The sequence below is a fragment of the Homo sapiens genome, chromosome 9, assembly GCF_000001405.40.
Source record: "Homo sapiens chromosome 9, GRCh38.p14 Primary Assembly".
NCBI classification, from domain to species: Eukaryota; Metazoa; Chordata; class Mammalia; order Primates; family Hominidae; genus Homo; species Homo sapiens.
Genome location: NC_000009.12, coordinates 126,818,584 through 126,842,249, shown reverse-complemented (window position 1 = coordinate 126,842,249; position 23,666 = coordinate 126,818,584). Strand labels below are relative to the sequence as shown.

The window sequence follows — 23,666 nt, the reverse complement described above, 5'->3', positions numbered from 1 at the left end:
CGTTTAGAATGCCGCAGAACACGGTGGGCCCCGGGGAAATGTAAATGCTAGCAAGGAGTGAGCCCTTTGGTCACTGTGGCACGTGAACTTAAAACTGCTCTGGTCAGGAGAGGATGGGGAGGGGTCAATGCTCCTTTTACCCGCCCATTCCTTGGAGTAGGCCTTGATGATAGCTTTTCTACTAGTTTGAAAATCACTGGACTTTGTATTCCTGGGGTTAATTTCTACATGTATCTCCTAAACCTGAGGGTTCAAGTAGGGTTAGCTGCTGGTACCAGTCCTAGAGCACAGTCTGGGGGTGGAGTCTCTATTTCTCCTCAGAGACCCCAGTGCAAGAGCCTGAGGGGGATCCGGCGAGTCACCCACCACCTAAAGGCGTCAGTAGGACAGCCTGGCCTACTTAGGTCCTTGCTCCCGAGCATCAGAAGCTGGCCTTGGTGCCCTGAGAGGGACAACTGTCTGCATCTCACTCCAGACATAGACATCCCTGCTGGCCCAGGAGGAAGCCCTTACAGAGGGGTTTCCCTGAAGAAGAAAAACATCTCACCAACAGAATAGGAAGCTGTCATCCTTTTCCGCTACATGAGGCCTGGAAGGAAATTCTCCTTCATGGTTCTGTTATAAAGGAGTTAATCCAAGTTGCGTTCTTAACACATGTTAAGCATGTAGTGGATCTTCACTTAGAGCTGTTATTTTTACTCCATAATCCCAATTTTTCTTATATCTATTAAAGTCGGCATAGTGTTTAGTGAGTTGAGTGGGTGTTCAGAGGCCAATAAATATATAGAACTGCAGTAAAAAAAAAATTCTCTCCAAGACAAATTCGCTTATATTCTTCATATTATGAATAGACAAAAGAGATTCACACAATATGACATGCTCTATGTGAAGCAAAAATGAGTCCTTTCTAGTTTGGCTGAAGGTCACTTTGCTGTCATGTTTAAGCCTAGAATTTCTAGCTAAGCCAGATCCTGAAGGAATTCCAGCAGCATTTACAGCGTTGTCATCCCTCTATCCTGAGTGGAACGCTGTGCAGTTGAGGATCTTTCCCGAGAATCCTAATAAGTGAGATTTTATCACAGCATTGCTAACCCCAAATTAACACACCCCCAGACTGTGCTCTAGGACTGGTACCAGCAGCTAACCCTACTTGAACCCTCAGGTTTAGGAAATACATGTAGAAATTAACCCCAGGAATACAAGTCCAGTGATTTTCAAACTAGTAGAAAAGCTATCATCAAGGCCTACTCCAAGGAATGGGCGGGTAAAAGGAGCATTGACCCCTCCCCATCCGCTCCCGACCACAGCAGTTTTAAGTTCACGTGCCACAGTGACCAAAGGGCTCACTCCTTGCTAGCATTTACATTTCCCCGGGGCCACTGTGTTCTGCGGCGTTCTAAACGCTTTCCATGGATTAAGCCTTCACCCTGACACCAACCCTGCCAGGTAGGTGACATTGCCGTCCCTATCTAATTAACGGTGGCAGTTCTAGAGGCAAGCCTTTAGCTTCCATTAACAAAGGTTAGCTGTTGCACTAAGCAGACCAGAATACTCTGGGGAGCAACATAGTATCTTATTAAGTTATAAATACATTTAATGGCTTTTGTATTGGTTTCTTATTTTGGAATGAGGGAAAAAAACAGATCTCATAATCACTGTAGTCTAAGTAAAAAGCCACTTTTAAAAAATAATATGTATTTACCTACAATATTGCTTATGAATTATCCTTTTTTATAGAGCCCACAAAGTCCCTCAAAGGACAATGGTAACTCCTTCCTGTAACTGCATCAAGCTACTTGCAATGTAAACTTTGGCTTATTTGGAAGAAATTAAAAGTGGTACAATATTTTAAAATAAAAAAAAAATTTTTTTTTTGAGACGGAGTATCTGTCGCCCAGGCTGGAGTGCAGTGGTGCAATCTCAGCTCACTGCAACCCCTACCTCCTGGGTGAAGCAATTCTCCTGCCTCAGCCTCCCGAGTAGCTGGGATTACAGGCATGTGCCAACACACTCGGCTAATTTTGTATTTTTAGTAGAGACGGGGTTTCACCATGTTGGCCAGGCTGGTCTCGAACTCCTGACCTCAGGTGATCTGCCCACCTCAGCCTCCCAAAGTGCTGGGATTACAAGCATGAGCCAGTGCACCCAGCAAATTGTTTGGTTTTGATTCAAACAAGTCAAACCAGTTCAGAAAAAGTCCCCAAGACTCCTCTCCCCACCACTACTTCACTTTCTGTTTCCCTGTTAAAGGAAAAAAATGTTATTCGCACCCATCTTCACTCACTAAACTTTAAACGTAGAACATTTTCTTAAAAAGAACCTAAGAGTTGGAACCAAGGGTACAGCGTTCTTATCCTTTACTTATCTGCACTGAGAAAGAACATATTTTACATCATTTACGGAATAACAGACTGTTACAGCAAGTTCAAGCTTACCTCATTTCCAATGACCTGCTAACTGGGCCACTGACTGGGCAAATTTTAGAGCCCTGCACCCTCCAAGATGCCCAGGGATGGGGACTGTCTCAAGGAACGCTTCGGTGGTTTGGTGGGAAGTAGCAGTCCCTGAGCTGAGTGTGACGGAATCAAAATAACCGCACAGGTGTTAAATGCTCCATGTGGGTGACACCCCTCACATCCCACCCCGTTCTGTTCCCAAACACAAAGGAACCACTCCATCTTCTTTCTCCTCACAAGAACTGCAGCGCTGCTCTCCTTCAACCCCACCGGCCTCCACCCCGGGGAGAAGCATGTGCAGTGGGGACACCTGCTTCCCAGGTGTGCACGGCTGGTTAACCAGGGCCTCGGTGGGGTCCTCTGCAGGGCTGAAAGTGGGGGTCAGAGAGGTCACCATGCTGCAGGGGCTGAGCTACTTGTCCTTGGTCAGGATGGACAAGCCCTGCCTCAAATAAAGGCTAGAAGTGTTTTTTCTGGATGACTTCTTCCCCATACAGAGAATGGTTAAGCTAGCTGAGGCAATCTGTAGTTGGCTTCAAAATCAGCAATGGGGAGGGGGAAGAACCTCACAACAAACAGTGGTAACAGAAGGTTTGTGTGGGAAGGTGGTTGAGTTTGGTCTAAAACAAGCAGTGTCTCTGGTAATGAGCTGTTGTTAGGAAATACCCGGCGCTTGCAGCCTTTGAAAGAGCACCGCTGCTGCTTCTCGAGGGCAGGGTTGTAGGGGTAGGAGAGGGCAAAGTGACGTGAAGCAAAGACCCAATGAACACTCGAGTGCATGGAGGCATGAGAGAGCAGTGGAGAAACCCACCGCCAAGCGTGCCAGCCGCGGACCATGCAGAGAAGCCCAGCTCCGCTCTGGGTGCTGGACGACCTTTGGTACCTTACTTACCTTTTCTGAATCACAGTTGGCTCACTGGTAAAATGAGGACACCTAAGCTATCAGCCAGGGTCCTGGCAGGAGACAGATGGTACACTCAGATGGAGTGACCAAGAAGAGTTTCATAAAGGGACTATTTACAAAGGGTGTGGGCAGGGTTAAGAGACTCCAATGAGGACAGTGATGTACCCGAGGCCTGGCAAAAGCAGGGAGTCAGGACTGAGACTGGCTTGAGGGGACAAGGGGAAGGTGTGGCTACTAAACCCCAGAAGTTGCCTGACAGGACCTGTGGGCCTTGGCAGAGGAGCCCAGCCACCGCCAACCCACAGCTGGCGGGAAGGAGCCAGGGGAATGAATTCCCTGACTTCTCTGTTCTCTGTTCTGCCAGGCTCCACCCAGAGTGTCTCTGGATCCTGACCGGAAGCCAGGACAGGTCCACCGTGGCCAGCTTCCTGGAGAGAAGTGCATAGCAGGAAGGGGGCCCAGGGGGCACAGAGAGCCTCTAGCACACCCCAAGTACCCGAAGGGGCCAGTGGGGGTCTAAAATATTACTATAAATGCCTGCCTGGCAGTCACTCACTGCCCATTGGATCAGATTATTTGGCATTTACTTACCAAAACGCCACCATATAACTGTATTCTCAGGTGGCAAAACCCAGAGTCAAACAAGATGTGGTCATCTACTCATAGTGAAAAACAAAACTTTTACAAAGTTGACAGATAACATTTATTAAAACATGTCATACAAAAGGGCATGATCTCTTCTATAAGAAGAAAATATTAAACATTAACATTCAATTAAGTAAAACCATGCTGTACACTGAAGACAGCAATATATAAAGACAAAACTATTCAACTTTTGCAACATAGGCATAACATTTCACAAAATATCAATAAGATATGCACCTAATGATAATCTGTTTATCATCAAATGGTTTTGTGGCCTAAGAGTCACCTGACTTGCATAAATAAAGTACTTTTCTGGACGAAACATTGGGAACCTCACAAAAGGAAAGAAGGCAGCAGCAACTAACATGACACAGGCTTCAAGCAAAAATTAAAAAAAAAAAAAAAAGTCACATTTGCAAAATGTGTTCCAGCATCTCCCCATAGGGCACTATCAGTAGAGATTTGAAATAAGAAACTTGTACCTTTAAATATGTAAGTAGCAAAGAAAAAAACCCCAAACAAACCCTGGTTTCACTGAACAAAAGTTAGTCACCCACTAAAGCAACCTAAATCACAAAACTGGTGGCACAGGAGGGATTGGGGATAACACAGTGCTGGTTTCCAGCACCCCTAAATTATCAGAGACCTTCCAAAAGCAAAAACCTGGACTCGTTGTGATGGCGCCCTCTCCACGCCCACCCAGGAGGCCGCAGCACATCCCCTTCCCCAGGGAAAGCACAGCTTTGCAGCTTCTGCTCCGTCTCAAATTCACTCCACAGCAGCTTGGGGGTGTGTGAGCCTCTCAAGGAGGGAGCCCTGGAGGCTAAGCAGCTTTCCCCGGTGGTTAGAAGCCAGCCTTAGGGGCAGGTTAGTTCAGCAAATGCCCACTAGAATGGAGGGGATCCCTTTGGGCAAGCTTTTAAAGTAGTGGCCAAAAGGGACCAGAGGAAGATGAGACCTAGAAATCGGAATCAACAGGCTGGGGGCCTGGAGCGCCTGCAGGCAACCTACAGCCCTGCAGGGTAAGTTACCGCAGTCCTTCCTTAGTTAACGGTGACATGCACTTCACCACGTGGATTACTGTAACGTGTGTATCTAAAGGTAAAAGCATGGCATAAGTATGAATTTTTTTTTTTTTTTTGAGACAGAGTCTCGATCTGTCGCGCAGGCTGGAGTGTGGTGGTGCAATCGCGGCTCACTGCAACCTCCGCCTCCCAGGTTCAAGTGATTCTCCTGCCTCCGCCTCCCGAGTAGCTGGGATTACAGGTGTGCGCCACCACGCCTGGCTAATTTTTGTATTTTTAGTAGAGATGGGGTTTCACTATGTTGGTCAGGCTGGTCACAAACTCCTGACCTCAGGTGATCCACCCATCTCGGCCTCCCAAAGTGCTGGGATTACAGGCGTGAGCCACCATGCCTGGCCCCAAGTATGAATATTAAATACCACTGGTGGTGCCTTGAAGCCCTTTCCCATGGGGATTGAAGAAAAACCACAGTTAAGACTCAAAGTAGGGGACAAATAGCTTGGTTGTAGGCCATTGACGTGATCCCTGAAAGATTGTTTGAACAATGTTACCCACAACCATCCAAACTTATTAGGAAGGATAAAGATTTTCTAAAGCTATATTGAGGTGAAGAGAAGAGACTATTCCTCCAACTCAACGTGGGGATGAAAAAAAGGTAAAAACCAGAGTTTACAAAAATTCACTTTTAATATTCAAATGAAAGCAACCCCCTTCTCCTGCCTCTCTGAACATGGCCAGCATTTCAGACACCCTACCACCTCCCAGGCTCTGGCTGCCTGATAAAAAAATCCCAATTTTTGCCAAAACCTCAAATACCACAAAACACTAAAAGAACAGATGTGAGCAACTTATTTAAGTTCTACATTTAGTAGCTGATGGACACATAAGGCTTTCAAGAAGACACTCTTCTCTTCACAACATATTAAATAAGTCCTAGCACAACTGACTGCTTCCAAAACTACCACCCAAGCGTGCCACCACTCTTGGCTGAACAGAAACTCTTCCTCATGACAAGGGCACTATGCTGATTTCAGCAGAACTGAAGGACCACGACTCTCCCAGAATATCTGTATTTTTACCTCTCAGACTTCTCCTGCAATGTCCTAATGATCATGTAAATAGTCTTCAATGAGAAACAGGACATCAAACCTTCCAAACAGGCAGAAAATGCTCTGCTAATACCATGGGAGAGGGTGATCAGTTTTTGGCAGAACAAAATGGCATCACCACCTTAGTACTGAAATTAGTAGGAGTAATAGAACAATTTCTCCTCAAATATAATGGCTAGGATCATACCTAAAACCCACTGGCCTCTACCATGAGTGAAAGAAAAGGAGACAATAGGCTTGATTGTACAATCCCCTCAGTATACGTGTGTCAGGTACACAGAGAAAAGACTGCTAACCAGTAACGTTTCAATACTAAGAGAAGCTATTAATGTGGCAAACAACCAAGAGGTAATATCTAGTTTCTAGGTTTAAAAAAAAACAATATATATATATATTTATAATAAAGTTTTAAATACAAAGTGCTTTTTATATATCGAGAATGATACAGTGTTGTGAATAAATCCCTGTTTGTAATCTTGCTTACAAGAGTTAACTGGTAAATAAGTATTTTCTTTCCTCTTTCCAGACAATGTTCAACAAGTAAACACCCTGGTGTTAGGAGCTTGAGAATCAGAGGCCATTGCCAGCAATGTCTATTACATTACAGCAAAGCCAAACTTTTCAAATAAAATTTCACCCCAAATCCAAGAAAAATTATTTTTATTTTAAGAAAAAAAAGTTTCTATTTAGAAGTAAATAACCCAGTACGATTGTGGAAAAGATGACATGGTAGTAGCACCCTGTCCTACCCTGGTGATAACCTCAGGTATGTTACACAGCTTAAAAGCATGTGCAATATTACCTTTCTTTTTAACCTAAATCATCTAACTGATGGGCAGAAAAGGTCTCAGAATAGTTGCTTTTCTTGTTTGTTTTTTTAATTTTTTTTTTCTGGTCGGCGTAGCTTTGTGGACTTTTAAGTTTAAGCAGCTTTATCTATAATGTGGGAGCATGGTTCTGTAGACTACCTTGCTAAACTTAGGACTCCTTTTACAAACACATTCCAGTGCTCATAAAGAACTGGTAGTATTAGCTCAGTGTACCCTCTAAAGAGTATCTCCCCCACCTTGAAAGAGTGTATTCTCAAGATTCTTCTTGGGCAGTTTTGTCCCCCTTAAGTATAACCACTCATAGAATCCTGCCTATCTGCCCTCTCACTCTGGTTGGTGGAGTGTCACCTTAGCACTCTATGAACTACTCAAGTTCACAGGGAACTCTCAGCCACAACTTGTGGCTCCTTCTCACTAAGTGTGGTCATGGACCACTCTCTTTGTAAAGCACCATAATCTAAGACAGAGCAGGGGCTGTGGCAGCCCGTGGTACCGTGGTCAGTCACAGCAGCTTGGTGTCTACCAGCCACAGAGAAGACCCCACTGTATGGAGGCTACAATTAACCAAACAGGATTTGGGAAAGCAAACCAATGAGAAATACCTATCTCTGGCACCCTAGAGAATTACAATTAGATAAAATTGTCCAAACTCAATGTTAGAACTAAAATACAAAACACTGCCTTATCAAGAGTCTGAAACACCTTGTGACAGTAGTGGCATCTTACAGAAACTGACAAGGGCACTATGTCAGCCTTGTACCGTAAATTATCTGTTTCATATTTAGAAAGTCACTCTCTTAGCATCTCCATAGTTTTAGTTAAAATATCCTTTAGAAAGACTAAAACCAGACAACAGAGCTCTGTTAACCAATTTCTCATCCTAGGAATCACATTATTTCTAGCTTTTATATAAGTAGCACTTCCTTCAGTGAAATAGCTACCAAAACAAATCCACATTACCTAAGTATCTATAGCAAGAGCAAAATAAAATTTCAGCATGACCTTGTAATAATGAGTGATCCAAAGCTGCTGCCACCCAAAATGGAACTGGTGGGTGGAGTCCAGTTCCAAGTGCAGGTGTCTCTGTCCACCTGTTTCGATCACAACCAGTCAGAAGGTTTCCCTTGCCAGCTGGGCGGTGGGTTAACTCACCCCATTACCCATTCCAGGCCAGGACTGGAACACACAAATTTGAGGAATTAGATTTTTTTAATTGGCCTACTTAGAGCTGGTCTTTCAGAAATATCTTCCTTTTTTTTTTTAAGCTTCTCTCATAATAGCAAGTAGCACGCATCATCTGTGCCCAGATTTGCATTAATTACCATAGTTTATTTTTGTGCATGCCACTCAAGGGCCAGATCCTATTTTTAGTTAGCCTCAGTTGTATTCTGCTCAGCCTTTGCAGCTTCGTAGGACTTAGTACAAGAAGTCACATGCCGGTGGAAACTGTCCCTCCACATAAACCTCTTTGCACAGATATTACACTCATACGGCTTTATGCCTGTGTGAATTTTCATGTGGCCCACGAGATGGTGCTTCATTTTGAATTTCTTACCGCAGACCCCACAGCCGTAAGGCCGAAGACCGAGGTGCATGCTCATGTGCCGATCTCTCTGACTCTTGTGAGTGAAACTTTTCCCACACTGACAAGGATACAGCTTGTCAGTGGCTGAGAATCCTAAGTGGGAAGCTTCTTCTTTAATCCCTGTTACCATTTCAATATTCTCACTGTAACCTGCTGCGAGGGCAGCCTCCTGTCTGTGCCCAATTAGATTCCCATCTGACCTCTCTCCGGAAAACTCTTCCATGGAAGAGCCATAGAAATCCACCTGCTCATCATAATTGCTTTCATCAGCCTGTTCATCAAACTCAGCTTCCACTTTCTTCTCCCCGATGTGGAAGTCCTCCTCCACTCCCGAAGGCTGCACCGTGTGCTCTGTCTGCACGGTGTTGATGGACTCTGTGACCTGGTGCTCGTCGTAGGTCGCGTGCACATCCATGCCCTCGCAAGCCTGTTCTAAGCGCTCGGGCTTCACGTGGATCCAGCGTTTGTGAGCCATGATGCTGGGCTTGCTGTACATGGGCCGGGTGTAGTGGAACTCGGCGCTGTCGCTGGCGCCCTCCTCCCCATCCTGGCTTGCCATTTCCGTGCTCAGGCGGTCATGCTCTGTGGACGAGTTGCTGGGCAGGTATTCGTGCTCGGTGAGCTGGGATGACAGCTCGTCTTTGGTGCTCTCCTCTTCATTTTCACCATCTCTCAGTTCTTGGGCTTTGGGAAAATCAGTATGACCCCCAGAGCCCAGCTCAAAGCTCTCTACCAGGCCATTATAACTACTGCTGCTTGGTGACTGGTGGTCACTGCCATGATTTAGCTTCTGACAAAGGACTGTAGGGTTTCCCTCTAAAACTTCAGTGCATTTGTCTACCACATGCCACATCTGGAGGAAGCTTGCCGCTGTCAAGTAACTAACAATTTCTGGAGCGGGCATTACTAGACGTCCTGTATAACTAGATAGGAGAATGTTCTCAAACACTCTTGGGTTCATCACATCAGGCAAAACAATTCTCCTGCTGTTTTTCAGGAGTACCTGGTCACAAAAGTAGGGTGAACTGGCAGCAAGAACGGCTTTGTGTGCCCGGAAAATGTGGCCTTGGACAACAATGGAGACGTCACATAATTGTCCTTGCTGGCGCTGCTGGTTCAGTTTCTGTAGAATGGTGCTGGAAAAATCAGGAAATTCTACCCGAAAAGAGTTTGTTCCAGGCTCCATTTCATCACAAATCTTGTTCGGTGCTACAAGAGAAAGAAAAATTAGTACAAATTCCAGCCCAAAGATAAACTTATTTTATCCCCTCCTCCATTGTTAAGACAAGTTCCAAAGTTCCACAAAGTCCTCTAGCCTATGGGCCCCACTGGGTAAGGGATTCAATCCCTAGAGCAAAGCTTGCAGGTGCGTGTTTGCCAAAGGCAGGACTCACCACCACTCCTTGTGGAACTCCTGATTTTGGTTCTGTGTCTGTGGGTAAGAGAACTGAATCCATAGGGACAAGATTTGTAAGCTATACAAATCTCCCAAGTAAAACCAAGTACTGTAAATATTTACAGTTAAAACAAACAAGATACCCATTCAAATAATATAATTTTTTTTTAAACGAGATGGGGTCTTGCTCTGTTGCCCAGGCTGGAGTGCAGTGGCACAATCATAGTTCACTGCAGCCTTGAACTCTTGGGTAATCAAGCTATCATCCTGCTTCAGCCTCCTGAGTAGCTGGGACTGTATGTACATGCCACCATGTCCAGCTAGTTTTTTTTTTTTTTTTTGAGATAGAGTTTTGCTCTTGTTGCCCAGGCTGGAGTGCAATGGTGTGATCTCGGCTCACTGCCACCTCCACCTTCTGGTTTCGAGCGATTCTCCTGCCTTGGCCTCCCAAGTAGCTGGGATTATAGGCGCCCGCCACTACACCTGGTTAATTTTTTTTTTTTGTATTTTTAGTAGAGATGGGGTTTCACTATGTTGGCCAGGCTGGTCTCGAACTCCTGACCGCATGATCCACCCACCTCAGCCTCCCAAAGTGCTGGGATTACAGGTGTGAGCCACCACGCCAGCTGCCCAGCTAGTTTTTTTAAAAAATTAATTTTTTTTGTAGAGACAGGGGTCTCACTTTTTGCCCAGGTTCGTCTTGAATTCCTGGCTTCAAGTGATCCACCAGCCTCAGCCTCCTAAAGTGTTGGGATTATAGGCATGAACCACCGCTCCTGGCAGAATTTTTTTTTAAAGAGATGAGGTCTCACTCTTTTACCCAGGCTGGAGTGTAGTGGCACCATCATAGCTACTGTAGTCTCAAACTCCTGGGCTCAGGTGATCCTCTCACCTCAGCCTCTTGTGTAGCTGGGTCTATGGGTATATACCACTATGCCCAGCTCAAAATGACAGAACTTTTAAGCCTCAGATTTAACTGATATTTGACAGGTTGTGGTGAGGGTGGGAGAACAGAATGGTGGGAACAAGGAAAAGCATACGCAAAGGCTCCGAGGCAGGAATGCATTTGGCAATTGCAAGGAACTGAAAGGAGACCATTAGACTAGAGTACAGTCAGGGAGTGAGGGGCCTGGGGGCTTGAGCAGTGAGGACGGGACAATTGCACCTCTGGTCTTTCAGCACTAAAGGGGCACAGTCACTCAGGCCCTGAGCAATGCAGATTTCTCCAGCTGCTGCCAGAATTTTAGCCCTTTAAGAGCTTCTGAGAATATGAAACTGAATGAAACTGCAAGGTGAGGTATGCTTCTTATCTGGTGATCTCCAAACTGTCTATAGACCAAAGAGGATAGTAAGTCCCTGCTACTGAACAGAGTCGATCAGAAGACAAAGTTATAACGAAGACTAAGGCATTGCCTGTGTTGCTACTGTAAATATATTCTGTGGGGTAAGTCAAGCATTAGAAACAATTCCTAACAATGGCACACAAGATGAGCTGTGCTAGAGATCCTGCCCATACTCTGTAATTCCCCCAAATTCTGTAATTAAAGCAAAAAAAAAAAAACCACCCAAACGATTTATTACTGCATATGTCACCTTGCTCTGATACTACATCCAAACATTGCTAAATTACCAAGTCTTCTTTTGTTTTTTTGAGACAGGGTCTCACTCTTGTCACCCAGGCTGGAGTACAGTGGTGTGATCACAGCTCACTGCAGTCTCAAACTCCTGGGCTCAGGTGATCCTCCCATCTCAGCCTCCTGAGTAGCTGGGACTTCAGGCATGCACTACTACCACATCCGGCTAATTTTTGTATTTTTTGCAGAGACAGGGTTTCGCCACGTTGTCCAGGCTGGTCTCGAATTCCTGAACTCAAGCGATCTGCCCGCCTGGCCTCCCAAAGTGCTGGAATGACAGGCGTGAGCCACTGCGCCCAGCCCCAAGTTTTCTAAGTATGATATAAAAGAGCCAGACAACCCAGACAAAGACTGAAAGTCATCTTCGAGGGATAGGGAGAGATGACAAGAGAAGAAATGAAGGTTTCTTGAGTAATTATGATATGTTAGGGACTGATACCTTTTTTCCCACTTAATCTTTATAATTACTCTGCAAATGTAGGGCTTGATCGTCTGAAGTTCAGCTATTTTAAGTAACTTTCCCAAGGTTAAAAGCTAGTTTTTATTAAGTTGAGATGTGAATCCAGGTCTGGATGACTCTAAAGTCTATGTGATTTTTCTTATCACATCACTCTGCCTCCTCTAAGATGCCAAAAATGCCAGATTAGGCACTAATAATTTTAAAAGACTGTGTTTTTAGAGTGAAGTATTAATTTATCGTTTTATACATCTTAAAACATTTCATAGTAATTTAAAACAAAAATAGATCATGAAATAAATGATTTAGGTATTCGTAATTTCAAAAAGAAAAGTTGACTATATAAATGAGTAGACTAAAAGTATGTAAATTCTGGAAACTACATCTGGGTGAACAGATTCTCTGCTAGATCTCACCACTGTAGAATTTTGCTTTTAGCTATTTGAAAAAGGGGGTGTGGGATATAACACATGCACATGTAAAAAAAAATTATAGAAAGGTGTAAAAAAAAAAAATCTCTCCCATCATTTATTCCTAGTCTCCCCCAAAGGAAATCACCATTAAACTCCTGTTTATATCTCTAGAAACTTCCCTGTGCATATATCAGAATAAATCATATACATCCTTTAAAAATCCCTACTCAACTGGGTTCATTACCTACATTTTATTCTACACTTAGCTTTTGTCACTTAATATATCTTGGAGATCTTCCCACATTAGCACAAAAAGAGCTAACTCATTCTGTTTAATGGCCACATAGCTTTCTATTATATGGATGTATCGTAATGTAAGCAGTTCTCCTCTTACAGAATTTCAGTTGGCAGGGGTTGTAAAATCACAAGCAATGCTACAATAGATATTTTTGCATAACTATCTTGCATACCTTTGGAAATATTTATAGCTTAATTTCTACCAGTGGAACTGCTGGGTTAAGGGGCTGTGCATTTGACATAGCCTTGAACTCTTGGGTCATCAAGCAATCCTTCTGCCTCAGCCTCTCAAGCAGCTGGGTCTATAGGCATGCCACCATGCCTGGCTAATGTTTTTAAAAAATTTTCTGATACATATTACCAAACTACTTGCCAGAAAGCCTGCACCAAGTCACACCCTCACCAACAATCAATGACAGTGTCTACTTAGCACACTCTTACAAGACTGGATATCATTTAACAAGAAAAATAAAGTCTGCCTATCTCCTAAGTGACATGATTCATTCCTGTTCTGATCTGCATTTCCTTAATTATGAATGAGGCTGGCACTCTGTACTTAGTTTACTGGTCATTTGTGGTTTTCTCTTATAAAATCAGTCACATCCTTGATTCAAATAAATTGGGCAATTAATCTTATTGATCTGTGGGGCTTTTTGTAAATTCAGGAAGTTAACTTTATCCTACGTTGTGATAATTTTTTCAGTTAGCTGATTTTATAGATTTTTTTGCCAAGATGAAATTTACATAAAATAAGTACTCTTTGCTTTTACTCTTTGCTCCAGGGTTTGTGTCAGATATAGGAGGGCATTCACACCTCCAAAATAATAATAATAATAATAATAATTATTATTATTATTATTATTATTATTTAGAGATGGGGGTCTCACTGTGTTGCCCAGGCTGGTCTGAAACTCCTGGGCTCAAGCAATCCTCCCGCCTCGGCCTCCCAGAGTGCTGGGGCTACAGGTATAAGCCATTGCACCTGGCCCAAAATTATTTTTGAAAATAAAAATGAAGGCTGGGAGTGGTGGCTCACACCTGTAGTCACAGCACTTTGGGAGGCCGAGGCGGGTGGATTGCGAGGTCAGGAGATCGAGACCATCCTGGCTAACACGGTGAAACCCCATCTCTACTAAAACTACAAAAAATTAGCCAGGCGCGGTGGTGGGTGCCTGTAGTCCCAGTTACTTGGGAGGCTGAGGCAGGAGAATGGAGTGAACCCGGAAGGTGGAGCTTGCAGTGAGCCGAGATCGCGCCACTGCACTCCAGCCTGGGCGACAGAGCAAGACTCCATCTCAAAAAAAAAATAAATAAATAATAAAACCTTTAATACATGGGTGTTTATTTTGGCATGAAGAGTAAGGTTGGGACCCAGCCTTTTTTCCTCCAAAATGGCTAGCCTGTTTTTCTAACACTATTTGTCAAATAACCTATGCTTGCTTCATAAAGTGCAAGTATCTTTGTGGAATTCTTTTTTTTTTGAGACGGAGTTTCACTCTTGTTGCCCAGGCTGGAGTGCAATGGTGCAATCTCAGCTCACCACAACCTCTGCCTCCTGGGTTCAAGCGATTGATTCTCCTGCCTCAGCCTCCCAAGTAGCTGAGATTACAGGCATGTGCCACCATGCCCGGCTAATTTTGTATTTTTTTGTTTAGTGTAGATGGGGTTTCACCATGTTGGTCAGGCTGATCTCCAACTCCTGACCTCAGGTGATCCGCCCGCCTCAGTCTCCCAAAGTACTGGGATTACAGGCGTGAGCCACCTCGCCCGGCCTCTGTTGTGGAATTCTAAATGACGAGAATACATTTAAAATCAGTTCTAAAAAAATAAATGCCACAAGGGAGGTTATGGAAAATGGTGGAGTCAGAAGCTCCATGGGTTGGTTCCTCCACCAATACAATCAGGAAGCTGAAAAAATGATCAAAATCACGATTTCAGGCCTCTGGAAGCGGATCAGACACTCACAGCAACCAAGAGAGTGCTGGATGGAGGGAGGCTGCTGAAGCTCAGAAGAGATCAGTGTGCATAAATCCCCATTCCGCAGCCCTGCCACACACAGCCTGCAGGAAGGTGGCCTGTGTTCCCACAGCAGCTGGCTCATACAAGAGGAGGGGGTGGAGGAAGGACCTTGTCCTCCAAAAATGTGCGCTTGTGCGTTTTGGCCAGTCTGGCAAACCCGCTCAGCTTTGTTTTGGCCCCCTCAGGCTGCAGTGGTTTCCCTGGTGGCACCTACCACAAGATTTAAAACACCTACACCTACATCTGTACACGCACACACACAGATCCAGACATTTAAGGAAATCTACCTGGTCACAGGCTGGTTTGCACGGATAAGAGAGAAAAAAACTTAAGCAACTACATGGAACAAGGAATACAGACTTTACAAAATAGGAAAAGTCATTGTACAAACAGATAACTAACCTCACAAGTCACAAAAGCAATCCCAGAGGAGGCGTAGAATCTGATTTCCAGAGTTACCACAGTATCATACTCCAAATGTCCAGTTCTCAACAAGAAAGTAAAAGCACACAAAGAAAAAGGAATATACAGTACATTCACAGGAAAAAGAATTAGAAACTGTCCCTGCAGAACACCAACACTAGAATCACAAGTCACAGAGGTTAAATCCACTGTTTTAAATATGCTCAAAGAACAAAAGAAAATAATGAATAAAGTAAAGAAAATCAGGACAACGATGTCAATAAGGAGACAGAAACTATAAAAAGGGGCCAGGAGGTCGGGCGTGGTGGCTCACGCCTGTAATCCCAGCACTTTGGGAAGCTGAGGCGTGAGGATCACGAGGTCAGGAGATCGAGACCCTCCTGGCTAACACGGTGAAACCCCATTTCTACTAAAAAATACAAAAAATTAGCCAGGCGTGGTGGCGGGCGCCTGTAGTCCCAGCTACTCGGGAGGCTGATGTGGGAGAATGGCGTGAACCCGGGAGGTGGAGCTTGCAGTGAGCTGAGAATGTGCCACTGCACTCCAGCCTGGGAAACAATACGAGATTCTGTCTCAAAAAAAAAAAAAAAAAAAAAAAAAAAGGCGGGGGGGCCAGGAGTGGTGGCGCACGCCTGTAATCTCAGCACTTTGGAAGGTCAAGGTGGGTGGATCACTTGAGGTCAGGAGTTCGAGACCAGCCTGGCCAACATAGTGAAACCCCATCTCTACAAAAAATATAAAAATGGGCTGGGCATGGTGGCTCATGCCTGTAATCCCAGCACTTTGGGAGGCCGAGATGGGTGGATCACCTGAGGTCAGGAGTTCCAAACCAGTCTTCAACATGGTGAAACCCCATCTCTACTAAAAATACAAAAATAAGCTGGGCGTGGTGGTGGGCGCCTGTAATACCAGCTACTCGGGAGGCTGAGGCAAGAGAATTGCTTGAACCCGGGAGGTGGAGGTTGCAGTGAGCCAAGATCAGTCCACTGCACTCCAGCCTGGGCAACAAGAGCGAAACTTCATCTCAAAAAAAAAAAAAAAAATTGGCTGGGCATGGTGTCATGAGCCTGTAGTCCCAGCTACCCAGGAGGCTGAGGCATGAGAATCGCTTGAGCCCGGGAGGCAGGAGGTTGCAGTGAGCTGAGATGGCACCACTGCACTTCAGCCTGGGCGACAGAGTGATGCGCCATCTCAAAAAAAAAAAAAAAAAAAAATATAAAAAGGAACCAAATGGAAAAAGCTGGAGCTGAAAAGTGCAACGATGCATTACGGGCTGAACTGCATTTCCCCTGCTGCCCCTCAGTTCACACATTGAAGCTGTAATGCCCTGTACCTCAGAGTCTGGCTATATTTACAAGTAGAGCCTTTAGGAGGTAATTAACCTAAATGAGTCCATTTAGATGTGCCCTAACACAGTATGATGGGTGTCCCTATAAGGTGAGATTTGGACACACACAGAGACACTAGGGATGCACAACCACGAAGAAAAGACTCTGTATGGGCCCAGTGAGAAGGAGGCTGTCTGCAAGCTGAGGAAGAAGGCCACAGAAGAACCCAAACCTGCTAACATCTTGATCACAGACTGCCCACTTCCAGAACTGTGAGAAAATACATTTCCATTGTTTAAGCCACCCAGCCTGTAGTATTTTGTTACGGTAGCTCTGCCAAACTAATACAAGCTGAAATTACTTGTTCATAAGAGGGGGTTCAATGGCATGCTTGAGCAGGCAGAAGGAAAAAAAAAATCAACAAACTCAAAGATAAGGTAAATAAAATCCAGTTGAGTAGCAGAAAGAAAGAAGAATGAAGAAAAATGGGCTGGGCACAGTTGCTCATGCCTGTAATCCCAGCACTCTGGGAGGCTGAGGTGGGAGGATCACTTGAGCCCAGGAGTTCGAGACCAGCCTGGGCAACATAGTGAGAACCTGTCTCTACCAAAAATACAATAGCCAGGCATGGTGGCATGCATCTATAGTCCCAGCTATACAAGAGGCTGAGGTGGGAGGATCACTTGAGTACAGGAGGTTGAGGCTGCAGTGAGCCATATTCACATCACTATACTCCAGCCTAGGTGACAGAGTGAGACCCTGTCTCAAAAACAACCACCACCACAAAAGAAAAATGAATACAACCTGAGGTGCCTGTGGGACACCATCATACATATCATGGGAGTTCCAGAAGTAGAGGCACAGAAAAGGGCTGAAAAACAATTTGAAGAAATATATAATGGTCAAACACTTCTAAAAACTGATAAAAGATTTGAATCTACACATTCAAGAAGCTCAACAAACTCTAGGCAGGATAAAGACACATTATAGTCAAACTGTAGAAAGAGCCAAAGCCAAAGAGAATCTTGAAAGCTGCAAGAGAGAAGCTCCTAGTCACGTAAAAGAGATCCTCACTAAAATTAACAGCTAATTTTTCATCAGAAACCATAAGCAGAAACCATATGGAGGCCATAGGCAGTAGGACAATCTATTTAAAGCGCTTAAAAAAAGAAATCTGTCAATTAAGATCTGGCAAAAGTATCCTTTCAAGAATGAAGGAGAAACTAAGACATTCCCAGAGAAACAAAAGCTAAGGATGTTCACTACCTGTAGACTTGCTCTACAAGAAATGCTAAAGGGGTCCTTCAGGCTGAGATAAAAGAACCCTAGACAATGAAAAGCCACATAAAAAAGCAAAGACCGCTGGTAAAGGTTAACTACTTATGTAAATATTAAGTCACCACTGGTTGGGCTCAGTGGCTCATGCCTATAATCCCAGCACTTTGGAAGGCCAAGGCAGGTGGATCATTTGAGTCAGAAGTTGTGATCAGCCTGGTCAACAAAGTGAAACCCCATTTCTACCAAAAAACCAAAAATTAGCCAGGCGTGGTGGTGCGCACCTGTAATCCCAGTTACTTGGGAGGCTGAGGCAGTAGAATCGCTCGAACCCAGGAGGTTGAGGTTGCAGTGAGCGGAGATTGCGCCACTGCACTCCAGCCTGGGCAACAGAGTGAGACTCTGTCTCAAAAAAAAAAGCCATCATTGTTGTACTTTTGGTTTTTAATTCTTTTGTTTCTATATGATTTAAAAGGCTAATGAATGCATAAAACAATTATAAATTTATGTTAATACACATTACACAATATATAAAGATATAATCAGTGACAATGACAACATGAAGGTGAAGGGACAGGAGATAACTTTGCTGTGACTGTACTAAACCTAAGTTGGTACTATTCAAGGTAAGTTGTTAAAAGTTTAAAATGTTAATTGCAAACCCCAAAGTAACTACTAAGGAAATAACTAAAAACATACACAAAAAGAAGAGAATCAAAATGGTTTACTGCCAAACAAACCCAAAACCCCTAAATAATAAAAAGTAGGATGGGGGCAATAATGGAAGAATTGAGGAATAAAAAACATGTAAGACATACAGAAAACAAATAGCTAAATTGTAAAGTGAATCTTTCCTTGTCAGTAACTGGATTAAAAAACGACTCATCTACATGCAGTCTACAAGAGACTCACTTTAGTGTATGTGCTGCCGAGGTGAGCATGAGACTCACTTTAGATATAACGACACAAAGAGGCTGAAAGGAAAAGGATGAAAAAAGATATTCCAGGTAAGCACAACAAAAAATGGCCTGAGATGGCTATATTATTAGAAATGATCGATTTTAAGTCAAAAAAGGTTACAAGAGACAAAGAATTATATGTTGAGTAAAAAGGTTCAATCTATCAAGAAAATATAACAATTATAAACATATACACACCTAACAAGATAACTCTAAAATATATGAAGTAAAAGTGGATAAAATTGAAGGAAGGAATAGACAGTTCTATAATAATAGGTGGAGACTCCAATACCCCACTTTCAAGAATTGATAGAAAAAAGCAGACAGAAGATCTATAAGGAAATAGAAGACTTGAACAACATTATAAACCAGTTAAGCCTGCTATAAAGACATATACAGGCATACCTCAGAGATATTGTTGGTTCAGTTCAAGAACACCGCAATAAAATAAACACCATAATAAAGTGAGCCACATAAATTTTGGTATCCCAGTGCATATAAAAGTAATGCTTACACCATACTGTAGTCTATTAAGTGTGCAATAGCATTATGTCTAAAAAAAAAAAAGTACTCACCTTAATTTAAAAATACTTTATTGCTGAAAAATGCTAACAATCATCTGAGCCTTCAGCCAGTTGTAATCCCTTTGCTGGTAGAGGGTCTTACCTTGAGTGGATGGCTGCTGACTGATCAGGGTGGTGACTGCTGAACGGTAGGGTGGCTGTAGCAATTTCTTTCTTTCTTTTTTGTTTCCCAAGATAGGGTCTCGCTCTGCTGCCCAGGATGAAATGCAGTGATGTGATCACGGCTCACTGCAGCCTTGACCTCCTGGGCTCAAGCAATTCTCCTGCCTCAGCCTCCCAAGGAGCTGGACTACAGGCATGCATCACCATGTTCAGCTAATTTTTGTATTTTTTGTAGACAGGGTCTCACCATGTTGCCCAGGATGGTCTTGAGCTCCTGGGCTCAAGCAATCCGCCTGCCTCAGCCTGCCAAAGTGCTGGAACTATAAGCATGAGCCACCGTGCCTGGCCTGCCAATTTCTTAAAATAGGACAACAGTGAAGTTTGCCACATCAATTGATTCTTTCACAAAAGATTTCTCTGTAGCATGCAATGCTGTTTGATAACATTTTGCCCACAGAACTTCTTTCACAACATTTGAGTCAATCTTTTTAAATCCTGCTGATGCTTTATCAATAAAGTTTATATTCTAAATCAGGGGTGTCCAATTTTTTGGCTTCTCTGAGCCACAGTGGAAGAATTGGACTGCACATAAAACACACTAACACTAACCATAGCAGATGAGCTTTAAAAAAAAAAAAAAAAAAAAAAATCTCGGCCGAGCATGGTGGCTCATGCCTGTAATCCCAGCATTTTGGGAGGCCCAGGCGGGCGAGCACCTGAGGTCAGGAGTTCGAGACCAGCCTGGCCAACATGGTGAAACCCTGTCTCTACTAAAAATACAAAAATTAGCTGGGTGTGGTGGTGGGCGACTGTAATCGCTTGGGAGGCTGAGGCAGGAGAACTGCTTGAACCCAGGAGACGGAGGTTGCAGTGAGCCAAGATCGTGCCATTGCACTCCAGCCTGGGAGACAAGAGAAACTCTGTCTCAAAAAAAGAAAAAAAATCTCATGTTTTAGGAAAGGTTATGAATTTGTGTTGGGTCACATTCAGAGCCATCCTGGGCCACAGGTTAGAAAAGCCGTCCTGGGGGCCACAGGTTAGAAAAGCTTACTCTAAATCCTTTGTTGTCAATAATGTTCACACCATCTTCACCAGGAGTAGAGTCCATTTCAAGAAACCATTTTCTTTGCTCATCCCTAAGAAGCAACTTCTCATCCACTCAAGTTTTACCATGCCTTTGCAATAATTCAGTCCCATCTTCAGGCTCCACTTCTAATTCTATTTCTCTTGCTATTTATTTCCACTACATCTCCAATTAATTCCTCCACTTAAGTCTTGAGCCCCTCAAAGTCATCCATGAGGGTTGGAATCAACTTCTGTTAAGGCTGATATTTTGATTTCCTCCCACCAATCACGAATGTTCTTAACGGCATCTAGAATAGTGAATCCTTTCCAAAACATTTTTTTTGTGTTTCTTTTTTTCTTTTTTTTTAAAGACAGAGTCTTGCTCTGTTGCCCAGGCTGGAGTGCAGTGGTGCGATCCCAGCTCACTGCAACCTCTGCCTCCTGCCTTCAAGCAATTCTCCTGCCTCAGCCTCCTAAGTAGCTGGGATTACAGGCATGTGACACCATGCCACCACACTAATTTTTATATATATTTTTAGTAGAGACAGGGTTTTACCATGTTGGCTAGGCTGGTTTCAAACTCCTGACCTCAAGCGATTCACCCACCTTGGCCTCCCAAAGTGCTGGGAGTTACAGGTGTGAGCTACCACACTGCCACCAAAACATTTTCAATTTACTTTGCCCAGATATCCATCAGAGTGTCAGAGGAATCACTATCAATAGCAGCTACAGTAGCTATAGCCTTACAAAATATCCTTTTTTTTTTTTTTTTTTTTGAGATGGGGGTCTCACTTTGTCACCCAGGCTGGAGTGCAGTGGTGCGATTGTGGCTCACTGCAGCCTCGACTCTCTGGCTCACGTGATCCTCCCACCTCTGCATCCTGGGTAGGTGGGACTACAAGTGCATGACACCACGCTTCACTAATTTTTTGCATTTTCAGTATAGATAGGGTTTTGTATGCTGCTCAGGTTGGTCTTGGACCCCTAGGCTTAAGCAATCTGCCTGCCTTGGCCTCCCGAAGTGCTAGGATTACAGGTGTGAGCTGCTGCACCTGGCTCAAAATGTATTTCTTAAATAATAACACTTGAAAATTGAAATTACTCCTTGGTCCATGGGCTGCAGAATGGATGTTGTATTAACAGGCATGAAAACAATACTAATGTCCTTGTACATCTCCATCAGAGCTCTTGGGTGACCAAGTGCCTTCTCAATGAGCAGTAATGCTTTGTAAAAAATCTTTTTCTGAGCAGTAGGTCTCAACAGTGGGCTTAAAATATTCAGTAAAGCATTCTGTAAATGCTGTCTCCAAGCTTTCACTGTGCCATCTATGGAGCACAGGCAGAGTATACTTAGCATAATTCTTAAGGGCCCTAGGATTTTGGGAATGGTACCTGAGCAGTGGCCTCAACTTAAAGTTACCAGCTGCATTAGCCCCTAATGAGAGAGTTATAACTTGTCTTTTGAAGCCAGGTATTGTCTTCTCCTCTCTAGCTATGGAAGTCATAGATAGCATCTCCTTCCAATAGAAGGCTTTTTCATCTATATTGAAAATCTGTGGTTTAGTGCAGCCATCTTTACCAATTATCTTAGCTAGATTTTCTAGATAGCTTGCTATAGTTTCTACATTAGCACTTGCTGCTTCAGCTTGCACTTTTACATTACGGAGACACTTCTTTCCTTCAACCTCACAAACCAACCTCTGCTAGCTTCAAACTTTTCTTCTGCAGTTTCCTCACCTCTCTCACAGTGTTCAGAGAAATGAAGAGAGTTAGGGTCTTCTTCTGACGGCTTTGGCTTAAAGGAATGTTGTGGTTGGTATGACCTTCCATTCAGACCACTAAAACTTTCTCTCAGCACTAAGGCTGCCACTTTCTTATCATTCATGTGTTCATTAGAGTAGCACTTTCAATTTCCTTCAATAACTTTTCCTTTGCATTCACAATTTGGCTGTTTAGAGCAAGAAGTCTAACTTTTGGCTTATGTTTGCTTTTGATATGCCTTCCTCACTAAGCTTAGTCATTTCTAGCTTTTGATTTCAAGTAAGAAGCATATGACTCCTCCTTTCACTTAAACACCAGGCCATTGTAGGTTTATTAATTGGCCTAAATTCAAGTGGTTGTGTATCACGTAATAGGGAGGCCTGAACAGAGGGGGAAAGATGGGGGAATGGTGGGTCAGTGGAGTAGTCAGAACACACATTTATTGACTAAGTTTGCTGTCCCTTATGGGTGTGGTTTGTGGTGCCTCAAAACAATTACAATAGTAACATCAAAAAATTACTGATCAAAGATCACCATAACAGATATAATAATAATGAAAAGTTTTGAAATATTGCAAGAACTGCCAAAATATGACACAGAAACAGAAAGTAAACATGTGCAACAGGAAAAATGATGCTGATAGACTTCCTTAATGCAGGGTTGCCACAGACTATTTGTAAAAAAAAAAAAAAAAAAAAAAAAATGCAATATCCGTGAAGCACAAAATGAGGTATGCCTGTATAGGACATGTCAGCCACCAAGTGCACACAGTACATTCTCCAGGATAGATCATGTGTTAGACCATAAACGAGTCTTAATACACTTAACAAGACTGAGTCTTTTTAAAAATACAAAGTATTTTTCTAACCACAATGAAATGAATGTAGCAATCAATAAGAGAGAAAACTGAAAAACTAATAAATATGTGGAAATTAAACAATACCCTTAAAGACCTATAACTATCAAGGACATTGACTCAATAAAGAAAAGATCCTAACCTGATGGCTTCACTGGTAAATTCTAACAAACATTTAAAGAAGAACTGACACCAATCCTTCTCAAACTTTTCTAAAACACTGAAGGGGAGGGACCACTTCCTAACTCATTCTATTAGGTCAGGAGTGCCCTCTGATATGAAAGCCAGACAAAAACACTATACAAAAACTATAGACCAATACCCCTTATGAACACTGGAGTAAATATCAACAAAATACTACCAAACCAAATTAAGCGGCATATTAAAAGAATTATACACCACCAGCAAGTGGGATCTCTTCCTGGAATGCAAGGATAGTTCAACATATGAAATCAATCAATGTAACACAGCACATTAACAGAATGAAGGGGAAAAAAACACATAAAACACGTATCATCTCAACTGACACAGAAAAAGCATCTG

At 43.3% G+C, this 23,666-nt stretch overlaps 1 protein-coding gene across 7 annotated transcripts in view, besides 4 other annotated features; it reads right to left on the bottom strand.

Moving 5' to 3' along the window:
* Nucleotides 2,958-3,037: an enhancer, noted in NCBI's record as "active region_29023". NCBI's record gives its function as "activates an Ori minimal core promoter by ATAC-STARR-seq in GM12878 lymphoblastoid cells {active_cell/tissue: GM12878}" and the evidence as "EXISTENCE:reporter gene assay evidence [ECO:0000049][PMID:35858748]".
* Nucleotides 3,098-3,227: an enhancer, noted in NCBI's record as "active region_29022". NCBI's record gives its function as "activates an Ori minimal core promoter by ATAC-STARR-seq in GM12878 lymphoblastoid cells {active_cell/tissue: GM12878}" and the evidence as "EXISTENCE:reporter gene assay evidence [ECO:0000049][PMID:35858748]".
* ZBTB43 (zinc finger and BTB domain containing 43) overlaps nucleotides 4,040-23,666 on the bottom strand; it is a 34,139-nt gene continuing 14,512 nt past the window's right edge. For 5 of the 7 annotated variants that reach the window (XM_011518409.1, XM_047423032.1, XM_005251835.4 and 2 more), the window contains one exon: nucleotides 4,040-9,763. In XM_011518409.1, the coding sequence (XP_011516711.1) occupies nucleotides 8,337-9,740 (1,404 nt within the window). In that variant the 5' untranslated portion in view covers nucleotides 9,741-9,763 and the 3' untranslated portion in view covers nucleotides 4,040-8,336. Of the gene's footprint in view, nucleotides 9,764-18,708; nucleotides 18,771-19,421; nucleotides 22,945-23,666 lie in introns of those variants that run through there. The other 2 variants (XM_047423031.1, XM_011518411.3) reach the window with 2 other exon arrangements.
* Nucleotides 8,543-9,042: an enhancer, noted in NCBI's record as "H3K4me1 hESC enhancer chr9:129595487-129595986 (GRCh37/hg19 assembly coordinates)". NCBI's record gives its function as "activates a minimal SCP1, AML or CMV promoter by ChIP-STARR-seq in primed H9 embryonic stem cells {active_cell/tissue: H9 hESC(primed)}" and the evidence as "EXISTENCE:reporter gene assay evidence [ECO:0000049][PMID:30033119]".
* Nucleotides 9,043-9,544: an enhancer, noted in NCBI's record as "H3K4me1 hESC enhancer chr9:129594985-129595486 (GRCh37/hg19 assembly coordinates)". NCBI's record gives its function as "activates a minimal SCP1, AML or CMV promoter by ChIP-STARR-seq in primed H9 embryonic stem cells {active_cell/tissue: H9 hESC(primed)}" and the evidence as "EXISTENCE:reporter gene assay evidence [ECO:0000049][PMID:30033119]".